Below are 15,156 nucleotides of genomic sequence, written 5' to 3'. Positions count from 1 at the left end.
ATTAATACTAAAATAAGTGTTTATAAAGATATGTGATTAATACTCATTTGCAACCTGTAAATAACCTTTCAACATGAACCAATTTATATGCCAAGTACTTTTTTTGGTATGTAAAAGTAAAGCCAATTTCCATGATGGCATGAATAGAAGTATTCTAATATGGTCTCATATGTCCTTAGAAACTAGAGTAAATTCTCTGGAAACTGAACAGAATTGAGAAGGCTAGTTAAAGTATCTATAATGGACACAGCTAAACAGACTTATGTTGGATCAAACCCTTTTAGAAATTCATGTAATTTGGGTTTCCCCTTTTGTATATACTAGAAGATTAAAATCCTAAAATAAAGGCAATGTGCTATGTATTACGCAAGTATGCCTATCATTACTTAAAGACTTAGAGCTTCTAAAATGACCTACTGCATAATTGCAGGTATTCTGGGTAAAGCAGAAAGCTTCCCTTCACACACATGCTTCCTTGTAGCCATTATGCTTAACATGTATCCCCATCCACAGAAAGGGTACTTTCTCCACCCCTGCAAAAAAAAAAGTAGTTTCTGTGTCCTTATATTATGCACATACAGGTATTTTTTCCTTAGGATATCATGCATATTCATTTTTGAGTCACACTAAGGAAATAAAATACTGGTGATGCCAAAAGACATCAGGAGTCAATATTCTAAAATTGTCAGTGACCTGAGGACACCATGATTCTCTTGTCCAAGGGAACCAGCCCTCATTTTAAAGTCTGATTGTAACATGGAATTCAACGGGAGCTCATAGCACATAGCATTCAGATGATGCTTGTCAGCTTTTGAGGGTGTAAGCAGGCAGCAGACTACACTGCTAGTATGCTCTCACTTAAAATCTGCCTGAAAAGGCCAGCAACAATTTTCTAATCCCTTTAACTTGCCTTCCCCTAAAGATTTCAAGACAGTGCTTCCAATTTTATTGGAGTCATAAATCATATATTTACTTTCTTGCGACTGGTATCCAATAGAGCTAGAGTTTTTAAGGTTTGTCTGCTGGATGTATTATGCTACTGAAATATAAAAATGGCTGCTGTGCACGCCAGTGGTTAGTAAAATTCAAAGACGTAACATTATCTTTCTCAATTGATTTGAGGAAAGAATGTTCATAAAATATATACTGCTTTTGGTTAGGAGCTTATTTCTAAATAAACAGACTCAGCAATGGAAATTTTAGAGACGGGCAAAAACAAAACATGCGTCCGTAAATGTACGTTTTAAAATCAATTCTCTCACAATCTTTGTCTTTTGCAAACTTTCTGAAGACTGTAAAATCAGTTGCATTAAGTTTATGATTTATAGCTTTCTGATTTAACTTCTTTTTCAGTTGTTGAAGGAAAATCTCTTACTCCTCTGAAATATTTCTCCTTTATTTTACAGGCTGATGTTGCATCTCTGCCTAAGAAGGCACTTCACTGCAGTGATTTGAGGGAAGCCATTTGTTTGTGATTCAGGAAAGGGAAGAAAAGTGGAATGCTCTGCTACAACATATCTATTCCTTTGAGCCCTAACAAAATAGGAAATGCAGGAGATTAGGGGACTGCATTGCCTCCAATTAAAAAAAAAAGTGCTAATCTACACAACATAAAGCCAAACTAAGTGGGGCTATCTTCTCTAATTTGCAATGAACTAAGGTCAGCTAGATTTTTATCTTAGATACAAACTGGGAAGGAGAAAACAACAAGAAAGGAAACACTACAACTTGGTTAGATCCTGCTTTTCACACAAGATTATATCACTGGTAGCTGCACAGGATGCTTCCAGAACATTAGAAGGCCAAAAATAAGCAAGGAAATATGGTTGGTTCAATGTTTACATTTATTTCAAAAAGAATAGTTCAATCTGGTGCGTAGCTGCAGACACATATATAAATATTAAAAGCACACTATGTTTTTTATTTATGATTTTTTTAAGAGAGCTGTAATTCTTAAGTTATTATCATGACGAATATTTGACCAGAAACCACATGCATACCATATAGCTCTTTACTCATTCTTTTAACAGTTTACTAAATGGACTACCATCAGCCAGTCAAAAAAAAAAAAAATACAAATATATTGTTCCTGCCTTCAATTAGCTTATATTTTATCTAGGAAAAAAAAGTTTAAATACATAAAATAACAGTACAGGTAACGTCTTAGTACAAAACTGTGAAAGCGCAGCAGATAATTAATTGGCATTTTAACAACAGGAAATATAAGCACTATAAGAATTCGGTAGGGGAACAAGTTGTTTCTGTAGGTTGACAATATCCTTCTGAGCACAGAAAAAAACTGAGTTTTTCCATTTGTGGACTCTGATGAAATAATGTTTAAGCTCTCTGAGCTTTAATTTTATCATCAATAAAATGGGGATGATAATAATAGCTACACTATAGGATTATTATAAGAAACAAATACGTTGTACATGAATGGATTTTGTAATCTGTAAAGAAGCTGTAAAATGACCATTGAGAAAGTAGTCAAAGGAATCATGCCAAACAGTTACCATTAGTTTGGGAAGACAGAAAGGGTTAAGAAGTTGGAAGGGATAATGATGATTAAGAAGTTGGAATGGATAATGATGATTAATTTTTTTCTTGACATACCTCTCTATTGTTTGAACTTGTGCACTAATCTTGTAACAAAAAAAACTTAAGGCTATAAAATATTAGCTGAAGTACGCATATCTGGATATCACAAAATAATTGTAAACACTAGTAACCCTGCCCCTTTAGAGGTACACAGAAAGAAGCCTCAGTCCTGGTTTCAATTTGAGAATTTCCAAAGTCATAAAAATGTGCCAAGATTGGGAACAATAACTAACTGAAACAGCGTTTCCTTTTAATAACCCTTTATAATAGAGCAAATTTTGTAGTCACCCAAAACCATCTATTGATTCAATAATCACTTTGGTCAACAACTTTTGAAATAAGCAAATTAAATAACTTTAGTTCCTCAAAGTCAAGGATTTGTCATGTCCAACCTTGCTTTCTAGGGCCCAATACATTTTGGGTATTCAAGTGATAACTTTACAGACGTAAGAAAAGTTATTAAGGCATTTCCAAATCAATGCCAAGGACTTTTCAGAGCAGAATGACCAACTTTTTAAACTGCACTTGGTAACAGATGTGTATTCCTAACTTTTTATGTAAGTGTGAGCTTTTTGAGGGCAGGAGTCAGGTCTTAATCTTTGTATGCCCAGTTGCTGGTATTGTGACTAGCAGGTGAGTAGGCAAGAATAAATATTCGTTGAACTATTTGGAGGCAAGAGCACCCACAAACACTTCAGTTAACTGGAAACTCAAGGAGATGGACATATATTCTAAGGGGAACTCAATTTCTATAGCTGTCTCTGGAGAAAATTCCTTAAAATGTTTCACGAGTCATAATGATTAGTATAAAGTTAAGTCACTTGATGGAAATATTGTAAGATTCTATTTGGTGTAGGTAGTAGAACCATTTGAGGGCATATAGATGTACAGACTAAGGTGAAATCATGGTGCAGTCTGATCAAAACCACCTTTTGTTTGCCTTGACAAAAATTTCCAAGGCATGTCTTATGGACATAAATGAAAGTGGGCAGAAAAAAAGGCTTTCACTTTCTGTGGCAGAAGCAGGTCTACACCTGGAATACTGGCTGACTACTGGTTCAGTGGTTTATGGCTCCTCTATGAGGACTTCATGTGAGTAAACACACAGATACTTTGAAAAGAATGGAGTTGGTATCCACATATAATACAAGTATTAGATTGTATTTAGTCACACTTAGATCATTTCCAGTAATATGCAAGCAGTGACAGGGAAAAAAGGGAGGTGAGTCTTATGGGCTTGTGCAAGCACTATTGAATAGGTCCTAAAGACACAAATATGGAAGCAAAAGTACAGAGATATAAAGTCATTCCTCTGACTCCTATTGATGATATAAATATTTCTATGAATGGTGTACCCAGTGCTAACCTCTGTTCCATCCTAAGATGCCAGATAATTCATGTTTATCTTATTTAATCTTCCTCACAAGATAACAAGGGCTTGTCATAACTTTTGAACTCTTCAGTAGTGTGCTATTTAATGATTCAAAAGAGGCCATTTTATGAAAAGCAAATGCTTTAGGACAGTACTCACTTGAAGCTTTTTGAAATATACAATGCAGCGTATAAAAAAGAGATATATTTTTCTACTTCTAAAAAGTATTTCAGAAGGCCAGTGGAAATGAATTGCTTTGGCTGTACTTTCTTTAAAGAAGGCTAAGTTTCTTAGTCTGGTTGGTCAAATTAAATTTGGAAGCTACCTAGAAATTTTCTCACATTTTGATCTTCAGAAGGGCAATTAATCAAGCTCTTGTTTGAGGCGACTCTAGCTTTGATCAGAATCCTATGGAGGGAAAGTGAGAGAACTACATATTCAGAATATTCAAGAGTATATATAATTGAAAACAGCCACAACAGGGAAAGAAAAGTAGATGCCAGTGGGCTGATATCTTATAACCTTTGGTCAAGCGGTACTTGGCAAATTTCAACAGATTTAGTTAACCAGAGATAAAACTAAGCCACAGAATACCATGAAAACAAAACAAAAGTATCAAAACAGAATCAGGAATTACAAGTGAAAAACAATGCTATACCTAACAGCATGGATCTACCAGAGGCGATTTGTTAGAAGACCTGAGTCGTTGTTTCGTAGTGGATGCTTCAAACAAAAACTGTAACGTTTCTTTAGGTCAAACTATAGCACAGCATTCAGAGACCCAGCCAAAATAGCTGAGGGAAACTAGGAAGGCCACATGTGGAACTAATTACTCATGTAGAGGCCATGACAAAGAACATTTCTCCAGACTTTTCATGGGGGCTTCACTTTCAGGAAGTTGCTATAATTACTGTTCAAGTCTAGAGCAGCCTGCAAGCTGCTGACAGATTCAACAGACAGGAGAAGGAGGGAGAGAGAGAAGGAGAGAAAGAGAGAGAGAGCGGGAGGGAAGGAGGGAGGGAGGGAGAGAGAGGGAGGGAGAGGGGAAGAGGGGGAGAGAGAGAGAGAGAGAGAGACAGACAGACAGACAGACAGACAGAAACTTATCTGCCCTTTTTGACGAGTGAAATACCAGAAAATAAAGTGCCACAGGAAAGCTCAAAAAGGTTTCCAAATGAGCTCTGCCTTCCAGTGTTCAACTTTCTGTTTACTATTTCATCTACCCTCTATCTTCAAATTACTTCTCTAGCCTGGGTCAGACAGTAAATTTGTACTTCTACACTAACTCACTTTCAGTTGGCCACAGCCGAACTGTACATCTTGACTCTTTTTTTTTTACAGCTTTTCCATACTGGGGCCCACTTCCTGCCCAGTTGAGGAAAAAAATCTGGCCTGAAGATGAAATGACTGCTTAACGTTACACTAAAACATCTGGTACCATTTTATGCACAGACCCATGTCTGAGAGCAGGCGATTCTAGCGGTCTCTCCAGCGGCACAGCGCATACCCAAACCTCCCCAGGGTGACATCATCCCATATATGGACTCTCCAGCCCAGCCCTCCCCCTTTTCCTGGTCCTAAATTCATTGCCAGTTCCCCAGTCTGCAGCAAATGTGCCACGTCAAGACTGGAAATCACAGCCCTTGAGTGTGTCTCAGTCAGCGCAGCAGAATTCAGGGGGGAAAGCTGAATGCAACCCCTGGTGCAGGAAGGGAGGCTTTTCCTGAGGACCGGGAGAGGATTTTAAGTACATAGAAGGAAGCTTCTGGAGATCCTGCTCCGTCGCCCCAGTGTTCAGACTACCTGTTCAGGACAATGCCGTTGTACAGTAGTCTGCACATTGGTTAGACTGGGCAAGGGAGAGCAACGCCATGGACCGCTGGGGACAAAATGGGCTGTTTCCAAGGAGAAGACATTTGTTTGCTCCTTTTTTGAATCTCATATCCAGTGTTTTTCTTCACAGGTTTTGCACACTAGGGACCAAGAAGCCCTCGGGGACACTGCTGAGAAAAGACTGCCGAAGGGAAGACCAGCGGGTAAGGCCTTCTTGACTGCTCACCTGGTCTGTGACCAAGGGAACCTAGGTGGGGAGCCCATGATTTGTGTTAACATGCAAGGGAAACAGAGGTACATGTGTGATGGGTAGAGATGTATTTAATTTTAAAAGAGCAAAAGTGTGTGGTATATAGCGATTTACTGTTTTTTTTTTTTTTATTTCTGAAGATTGATAATTCAAGTGTTTTCTTAAAGGTTTTCCCACTTCAAAATGAAATATGAAAAAACTCATTCCAGACACTTAAGAATAGTTTAATGAGGCTACTTTTGAATTGTTTAATAATAATTCAAAGATTTAAAAACTTATATGGATGAAGGCTGTATGTATAACTTTTAACATCCCAGGACTGAAGTCATTTTTCCCCAAAGTAAAGAATACTTGCTGGTTTTTAAATGCTATATGGATAGTGCTTTTCTGAAGATTTCCTTCTGTAATATAAACAACAGGAATAATAGTACCTAACAATAAAAGAAGAACCTGCCAAGTCTTGCCTACCAGACAATGCAGATGGGATTTGCCCAGAGAAGAGCACCGACCCACAACTTATTGAGTCAGCAACTGAGTAAATCAGGGAATAAAAACCTCTATCTTTAGATACCCCTGTAAATATCTGTTTTACATTTTTTTTAAATCAAAGAGTGGTTAATAATTGCTGCTCAGCTGAGCCCTCTTGCCTATAGCTTACAATGCTTCCACTTCTCTGAGCATTTAAAATAAGGCACTTTGTCTAGAAACCCACTGATAAAAAAGGAATTTGTAAACGAAGGCAGAAGTTTTCTTTGGTCAGTTTCCAGCTGTCCTGGAGGTGAAAGAGGGTGGGAGAGGGGGAGGAAGGTGGGAGGGAAGAAAACCCTCAAGCTGAATGAAATCCTAATAGAGAAAATAATAGAGCAAGTCTGGATTGCAATGTGATCTGTGCTGAACTTTAGAGGTCGGCCCCTTAAAGAAAGTTCTGGAAAAATGTTATTGCCTCATCCCTAATTTTCTTAACCCCCATTAATTTCTATTCCGAAACAATTCTATATAATGAAAACATCTCTTCTACAGGGTTTGTGAAAAATAAACATAATCTCTTTTGTCCTCCTTTAAAGTTACAGTGGTTCCTGAACAAATTCTTTTCTAAGTTATACATTTTGCAACAATTCAAAAATTGACTCAAGTTCTCTTTAGCAAAATATTTTATTATAAAAGATTCCCTAAGTTTTCTTTTGTCAAAACAACTTACTTTAAAAATTACCCTTCTGATCACCCCAAAATGTGTATAAAGAAAACATTAAGTATTCTCATATATTCATGATTATTAGTTAAAATATAAACAGCAAGGAGAAATTTAGCTACTTTCACTTAGATGATATAGTAAAGTTATCCTTTCATTTTCTATTGTGACTTGGAGAGTTCCATATTAATTATTTTTAGTAGAACAAATGAGATGTTAAAAATCTATATAGTTTCTTTTACATAAGAAAACTAAAAAAAGTAACTTAGAGGAGCTCATTTTTTCAAGAAATATATTTTTTCTAATTGATACAATTACTGAAGAGGAAAAATAGCTAACAAGGTACTTTGGTAATGTTTTTCTCAAATTTTCTGGGTTTTTTTTTTTTTTTTACTCTAGAAATGATTACATTTCAAAATTTGCTTTCATTTAATGTATATTTAATTTCAATTTCTTTCTTCATGTTAAACGGTCTTTTTGTTTCAAAGAAATGAATCCCTATGGGTCCCTCACCTATTTTCTCCCTCAGGATGACTTTTAGTCTGGAGATAGAAGGGACATAAGGGTGCCTCTGGCATAAGTACAGGAGTAGAAATATAAGAATTACTTTGTAAAAGGATAACCAAGGAGTTCCTGCACATGCTTGATGTGGCTCTAGCGACTTATTTTCGAGGCAAAGTTTTAACAAATGAAAACGAATAGTACTTATTTTTCAATTATATGGGCTAAATTAAAGATCAAAGGTAAAAGCTCATTTTATAAAGCTCTGCTGAATGAAGGCAGGATTGTAGTTTATGCGCTGGTACACACGCCCACATTTATATACATTATAGCCATATCTATATCCAGGTAAATTAGAAAAATGTTTAATTTTATTTTCATATTACTTTATAAGGAGATATACAAATATTTTAGGGATCATGGAATCTATTCCAGAGGAAACTAACCAACAGTGAGCATCTTCAACTAAAACTACCCCTGGATGTAATAAGTGTAAGTATTAAAATTAAACATTATATGTGGTCATGAAGAGAAAATTGTTTCAGGGTCTGTCCAAACTACACTTCATAGAAATTTCATAATTATTTTTCATTTTAGCATGTGAATGATTGATAAATTGGACTAGGTACTGGGTTAAAAGGACTTTTCCACCATCTAAGAGAAAGGAAGTTCAGAGCCTTAGCTTCAACACCACAATTTCTTAACTGGAAAAGGATCAATCTAAAACGGTGGACTTAAATTTTCAAACTCATTTTTCTTTTAGGCCACAGATCTCAAAATCAAAGAAAGACTGTTTACTATAGGACAAAGTTTCACACTGATCACTTTCCTGTAGTTAGTCAATAGGCTTAATATCCTTCCTGCTTGGCATTCGGGCTTTCGGCCCAGATAATATGTTTATGTTTGTAAAAGACCAAAATATACTATCTACCCCCACCTCTCGCCTACAGACCACCCATGTATTTCACTCTGTGGGAAACAGTTTAGGCATAAAAATCCTAACGAAAGAATTCTCCCCACTTTTTTGGTTGAAGTCTTAAGCTGTTATAAGATATAAAAAGTACAACTTGGTAATGTGAAAAAATTCACTCATCCACAAGCATCCATGCTCGGTAAAGAGACGCCAAAGCTTTCACTTACTCTGTAAGGGATCTGCTCTTTATAAACAATGCACTTTACTCTGCTCTAAGGAGAATAGCCCACCCATCACAATAACGTCAAAATAATAACTAAGAGACCATCACTCAGAAATCCTGGCTTAAAATAACTAGAAGGTCAGGCTTTAACCTGAGACAGGAAATTCCTGAGTTAAGATAGAAACTTTCTTACTTCAAATCCCTTCTTACTTTCATGTTCTGTAAATTAAGTAGAAATAAATATTTACTCATTTTCAAAGGTCTCTTACAAATAATTTTTATCAGTTTTAATAGTTAGAGATAACGAAGTAAATTAGGAAAAATAATTAAATCTTCATTTTGAATTTTTTGACTTAGCGTGACAGCCAGTTTCCTGGAGTTGCTTTGGTTTAATTTCACTACAGAAGACTTAGAAGACAATTCTTTTCTTACATTTTTTTCCTTAAGAAATAAAAGACAAAAAGAAAACAAGGTGTAATAACCACACTAAAAATTACATGGTATGATAATAATACAAATAGCTCTTTTATGTTTTAGCTAGTATTTTAAGTAATAATAAACTAATATTCAACCTATAATTTGGGAGATTAAAAAAAGGTCAATATGGTTTTCAGTCTTTCATCTTTTTAACAAGTTTAGGGGCAGGTTCAACATAACAATGAAGTGTGCATATGTCACATAGTTACTGTAAGTGTGTTTTAAAAATCTATCAGAAACATAAATTGTCCAAAAGCCTTATGAATAGAACAATTGTTTTCAGCAAGATTTTTTTTTTCCCCTGAAAAACTGTTGTGGTTTTTCTGGCTCAAAAAATTTTTATATCTTGCCTTAATAAAACTGTTTTATATTAAAGCATAACATACAAACTCACAAATATTTCTTTTTATTTTTTCAGGTTGCATGCATCATTCCTTTAATTGAGCAGAGTTAACTGGATCAAATTATTTATGGGAGAGAGAGGAAAAGTTATAAAGAATTATAGTAATTTTTAATTTCCACCAATATACTCTTTGTAAGTGAATCACTCTATAATTACTTTCTGTTGCACTGAATGCAGCAACAATAACACAATAGTATTTTAAGGCACTGGTTTTTGGCATACTCTAACCTTGTAATTATTTAAATAACAGCCAAGTTTACTCATGTTTTTGATTCTGTCAAGAAAAAAAAAAAGTTCCTTTACTCGAAAGTGATGGCCGAAACAGAATCGGAAATTTGTTTTCTTGAAATTACATAAATACACAGAAAATGGCACTTATTAGCTTTTGTTAAAACATTACCTTACCTAATCACTGCATAAAAGTCCAGATTTGTAGAAAATTGTAATTTTCTCAGTATCTAAAACTATTTTGCTTTCCATTAAGTTTCTATTTGCTATTTTCTCAGAATTTTACAATTAAAGATAAATCACAAACTGTTTGTTTTTCTTAAAGTTCTTTGAGAAAATGTCTAATTATACAATCCTTGGACAATACTGTGTTTTTTTGGTGCTGTGTTTTTTAAGAAGTCCTACTTACTGGAATTTTGACTATTTGGATATTTTTGTTTTTAAAAGGGGAGGGGAATTTGCTTAATACTTCTAAAGATGTGAATTGATAATTGATATTAAAATAGAATTACTCTCAACTCACCAGAATTAAATTTTATATCTGCATATTTAACACTATTAGCTCATATAAATTATAAGAAAAATTTTCAAAGGATCTGGTTTTAATTTTTTGGATATGAAATGAATTTGCCTTTTCTGCCTTTTCTTAAGTACTATTTTGTAACTATATTGCACTAACTATATCCAAAACACATTCTGAGCATCACTGTGAGTAACAGCCTTCCAGTTTGTACCCTTTTGATTCACAGCATGGCCCTATAGTTAATTAAGAGGTGGATAACTTAAGCTCACAACTGCCTTTAATTTGATTTCACATCCACAGTTATAAACTTTGCATTTAAAAGGAAAATGAGACATTTAAATAGGTTCCTGTTGTTTCACATATAATTGGTAAAAACATATTCCCTTGTAGGATCCTATTATCAGAGCATCAAATACCAAAGTCAGCAACTTGGGTTGCCAAATAAATTAGGCTCATTAATTATTTTGAAAAGGGCTGCTGTTTCCATGTAAATGATAATTTTCTTTTTCATGGACAAGGTTATGGTACTTATCTACTAAAAGAAACATGCATAAACATAGTTTTTATCTTTAACTTCAGTATTAAAATATGCAGTTTTTTGCAAAGAGGAAAAACATCTGGTTCAATTACGCTGAACTCTGACTACATGTGGGCCAGTAATAATATGAATTGGACTTAAGAATAAACCTTGTGTTTAATCTCTTTTTTTCCTTAAAATTTTAATGTGAGTTTTCTGTTACGCAAATTATCCATGTTAGCACATTTGGAACAAATGTATAAATGTACTTTCTGAATAAAGTCAAAAGTCTAACTTGTTTTTAGTTCCATAATGTTTTAATGTTTAATTATATTGTGTATTTTTCTCCCTTTCCCCTTACTCTCCAAAATCACCAAATCTGGAAAACAGGCTGATTGTATCTGTCTATGAGCAAAGGAAACCTGAAGGAACCAAGGGCCTGGCTGGACAGAGTTGTCATGTGTCTGCCTGTCTACACTTGCTGTGCAGAACATCCGCTCACCTGTACAGCAGGCACAGACAGGCAGTCACATGACAACCCAGCCTGAATGACAACCAGCCATTGAAAGAAAGCAGCCCTCACACCATAGCATCTACACCAAGAGCTACAACCAAAATGAGGGGCTCGGGGGCCTGGGGTTTTAATCTGTTGGTTTAATACTTAACTCATGTATTATTTTATTTTGATTCAAGTATTAAAACCCACCAAAAGTAAAGTGAGTGGTGCCTATGAAATATAATAAAACCCATTTCTGAAAATGTTCCTGTGCATTCTATAGTTCTCTTTTCCTAATTGTTGTCAGCAAATCACTACCCTTGACCTTTATTGTACACAGCTTTGCAGCACCCTATATTGATATAAAAACTCAATATAACAAAACAATATAACTTCAGTCTGATGCTTAACAAAGAATAAATTATTCTAAGAATTCTTGTCCATAAACTAAGTATGGTTTTCTATGTCATGATTTTTTTTTTTTTTTTTTTTTTTTGGAAGGGGATAGGGTGGAAAGACAGAGAAAAGAAAAGGGAGAAAAAGAGTATTCCAAAGGATCAAGTGCTTTGAGTTAACTCTGCCAGTCTGGGTTAACTCTGCCAGTCTGGGTCTGGGCAAAACACAGTGAAAAGACTACTATTTCCAACTAGTGTTCAACTATATTAAAATAATAGTTTCTCCTCTTTTGACATATGGAAAGTTGAAATTTTTGATACTTCCACGCGTCATGGTATACATAAATTTATGACTGCGTCATTCTTTAATTAAGAAGGTGCTTATGCTACAGTTCTAGGAGTAGAATTTACAAGGCCAACACATTCACTTGCAACCTATGCTTCCATCACTATAAACTTTCAAGATCTTGAGATGTTCAGGCAATTCATTTATCTTCAGAAGCATAAGGAAAGTGGTTAATGCACTTGAAATGTATATTTTGACACATCTTTTGAGAAAATATCCAAACTTCAGTTTATGCACTGTTAACTGGAGTGAAATGATAAGGGATGGCTTTTGTCTATGAATACTTTAAATACTTAAGGGTAAAAGGTGGGAAGATGGATAAAATTAGAAATGTGTCAACTTTTATTTAGTTCATTAACATGTTTTAGCTTCAGTATTTGAAATTAATTTTCATCTTTCTTAGATTCTGGTCAAGCTTAAAAAATGTAACACAAGGCTACTCAAAACTTTTTTCACATTTAACAATTAAACACTTTATGTATGTATTCTTAACTAAAGCAAACTATTTTTCATTCAGCTATTTTATTTTTAAAATGAAAGTCTCAGTCTTAAAGCTAAGATCCCAGTGAGTTTCAAATTTTCTGACAATGATATTTTAACCAAACCTGACATTATAGTTTCTTTAATTAAAAAACTGAATGATGGGGCAAAACTACAAAGCACAAATATGATTAAAGTTAAATTTCTCTCATTTAAACAATCTTGTCTTATGGCAATATGTCATCTGCTAAAATTCATCTCTGCTTCTGCAAGATACATTGCACGATGCAGATTTTTGCCTTAAATAAAAGTCCCATTACTAGCAAATAAAGTCCTAAACAATACTTACAAAATGTAGAATATAAACAGGAAGACAATATAAAAATTACTCACAGAATATCGACATCGTTCTACCCAATCTTAAATGCCTTGTACCACCTGTTGCAAATGCTGCCTATGAGAGTTCACGTATGGAATTATTCTACTGGACCCTGCAAGGCTCAGGAGAGTGCTTGACAGCTCCCAGAATGAGACAATGACCTAGCCAGAACATTAAGGAGACTACACCCGTCCTTCAGACTCCAAAGGGAAAGCTAGGACGGCAGCAGAGTCATCCTAAGGTGAGGCACTCCAGGATAACATTTTCAATATTTTTCCTTAAAACATAAAGTTAACACCTTTTTTGTTAAACATTTTTTACTCAATTTTCAAAAAAAATGCTTGAAAGAATGTTTTGTATGTATTTTAAAGTCATTAAATGAGGCACATTTAAAAATTTTTCTCTTCTGGGAAAGGGTAATATAAAGGATAATATTGCTCTTCCAGGATAAACTTTTGAGTGGGACAAATAATGCATATAGGGGAGTGGGTTTGAATCTAAACTCATTTTTAATAAATTTGGAATAGGATTGGCCATTATGGTTTATTGAATAATACTCTTTTTTTCAAAATTATAAATCTTTAGATAATACCAGAACATGGAAATATTTGTATGAATAATCCTATATTAAAAAAGAATAACATCAGATAGTTTATGTATGTAAAAAAATATACAACTGTGATCATGCAGAATTTTAAGTAATATAAGTGGATTAGAGTTCAATATTTACTGGGACTTTTGTGAAAATATCTAAGTTTTGGCTAACTAAATAACTTAACGAAGGAGTGTGAACAGTGTTCACAGGGTCGACGCTGACCTTTTCCACCACAGGGAGTGTGCAGATCTGGTAGGAAATATGCACAATCTTAAAAGTATAAGTGAAACTAGAAAGAGAGCTGAATATTTCTATAACTTCTTGATCTCACAACTTTGATCATCCAGGGATATAACTGTCATTTTGTTTCCTATTTCTGAAGTTACATTTGTCATTTGTTATTGTTACAAAATGAAAACAATGCTAAGTAAATATCCCTATAAGGGAATTATATAATCTCCTTATCAAGTTATCCAAACACTTCAACCCACAAAAATGAGGCCTGTAATTTCTTAAGAGTCCAAAGAATGTCCTTATTTCAATGCAGATGTTGGGTTTTCCTCAATAGTATAAGGTTAGCAGATTTCCACTGGAAACGCCTATGTTGCATTATTCTGCTTGCCTAGGAGTAGCTCATTATGATTTAAATCTTTACACACTGGGCTATAGAAATAGAATAAATATTGACTAAGTGCTTTTATTATACATAAATTAACAGTCCTCTTTCTTCAGAGATTTGAATTATCTCTTAAAATTTACATATTTATGTATTTTTAAAACAAATTTCTCATTGGTTTTAAGAAAAATAAGGCTCTTTTCTCCTTGAATCAGGGTCTCCCATTCTCCTAAAATTCACATTTTAGACATAAGTTAAAGAAAAGCCATCATTTTTTTCAAGTCTGATTTTAAAGTATTAATGTAAAATTATCTAGATCAAAAATCCATTTCAAAAAACTTTTGAAATGACAGTTTCTGTTTTATTCTCACATCTTGCTTTTTACTAAATCCCTTTCCAAAAATGTACAACATATATGGGCAATGTATGAAAACAACATTGGGAAATTAATTTTCTGTTTAAATGATTTTCAATCCAGGAAGTCACATATATATAGTCAGAGGATAAAAAACAAACAAACAAACAAAAAACAAAAACAAAAACAAAAAAACACTAACCTTCAATGATGAAAATTAACAAAATTTAAGACAATTTAAGACAATCTACCTTTAGTGGTAATTTTATTCTGTAATTCAATAATTTAATTTTGACACTTGATATGCCAGGACGTGATTAATTATTATGCTGCATTTATTCATTCATTTGCTCAATGACACCTTCATTCAATCAATATTTAGTTAGTGTCTCCTATCAGTGCTATGTCCCCTGGTGGTAGGACAGGGAACAAACAATGTCTCCTGGTCTCAAGAGGCTTACAGTTTG

At 34.3% G+C, this 15,156-nt stretch overlaps 1 protein-coding gene, 1 long non-coding RNA gene and 3 other non-coding genes across 27 annotated transcripts in view; 3 read left to right on the top strand and 2 right to left on the bottom strand.

Moving 5' to 3' along the window:
- Positions 1–15,156, bottom strand: part of DNM3 (dynamin 3) — a 576,969-nt gene that overhangs the window by 268,096 nt on the left and 293,717 nt on the right. The window lies entirely within an intron of this gene.
- Positions 5,536–13,492, top strand: DNM3OS (DNM3 opposite strand/antisense RNA). 2 transcript variants are annotated; one of them, NR_103486.1, is made up of 4 exons: positions 5,536–5,717; positions 5,934–6,006; positions 8,158–8,235; positions 9,775–13,492. It is a non-coding gene; the product is annotated as a DNM3 opposite strand/antisense RNA (long non-coding RNA). The 2 variants fall into 2 exon arrangements; NR_038397.2 differs by having other exon boundaries at positions 5,536–13,492.
- Positions 5,727–5,836, top strand: MIR199A2 (microRNA 199a-2). Its single transcript, NR_029618.1, has one exon. It is a non-coding gene; the product is annotated as a microRNA 199a-2 (primary transcript).
- On the top strand, positions 11,464–11,573 carry MIR214 (microRNA 214). The gene has a single exon (NR_029627.1). It is a non-coding gene; the product is annotated as a microRNA 214 (primary transcript).
- MIR3120 (microRNA 3120) lies at positions 11,483–11,563 on the bottom strand. The gene has a single exon (NR_036066.1). It is a non-coding gene; the product is annotated as a microRNA 3120 (primary transcript).

The sequence above is a fragment of the Homo sapiens genome, chromosome 1 (genome assembly GCF_000001405.40).
Source record: "Homo sapiens chromosome 1, GRCh38.p14 Primary Assembly".
NCBI lineage: Eukaryota > Metazoa > Chordata > Mammalia > Primates > Hominidae > Homo > Homo sapiens.
This window is presented reverse-complemented; position numbering and strand designations above follow the sequence as displayed.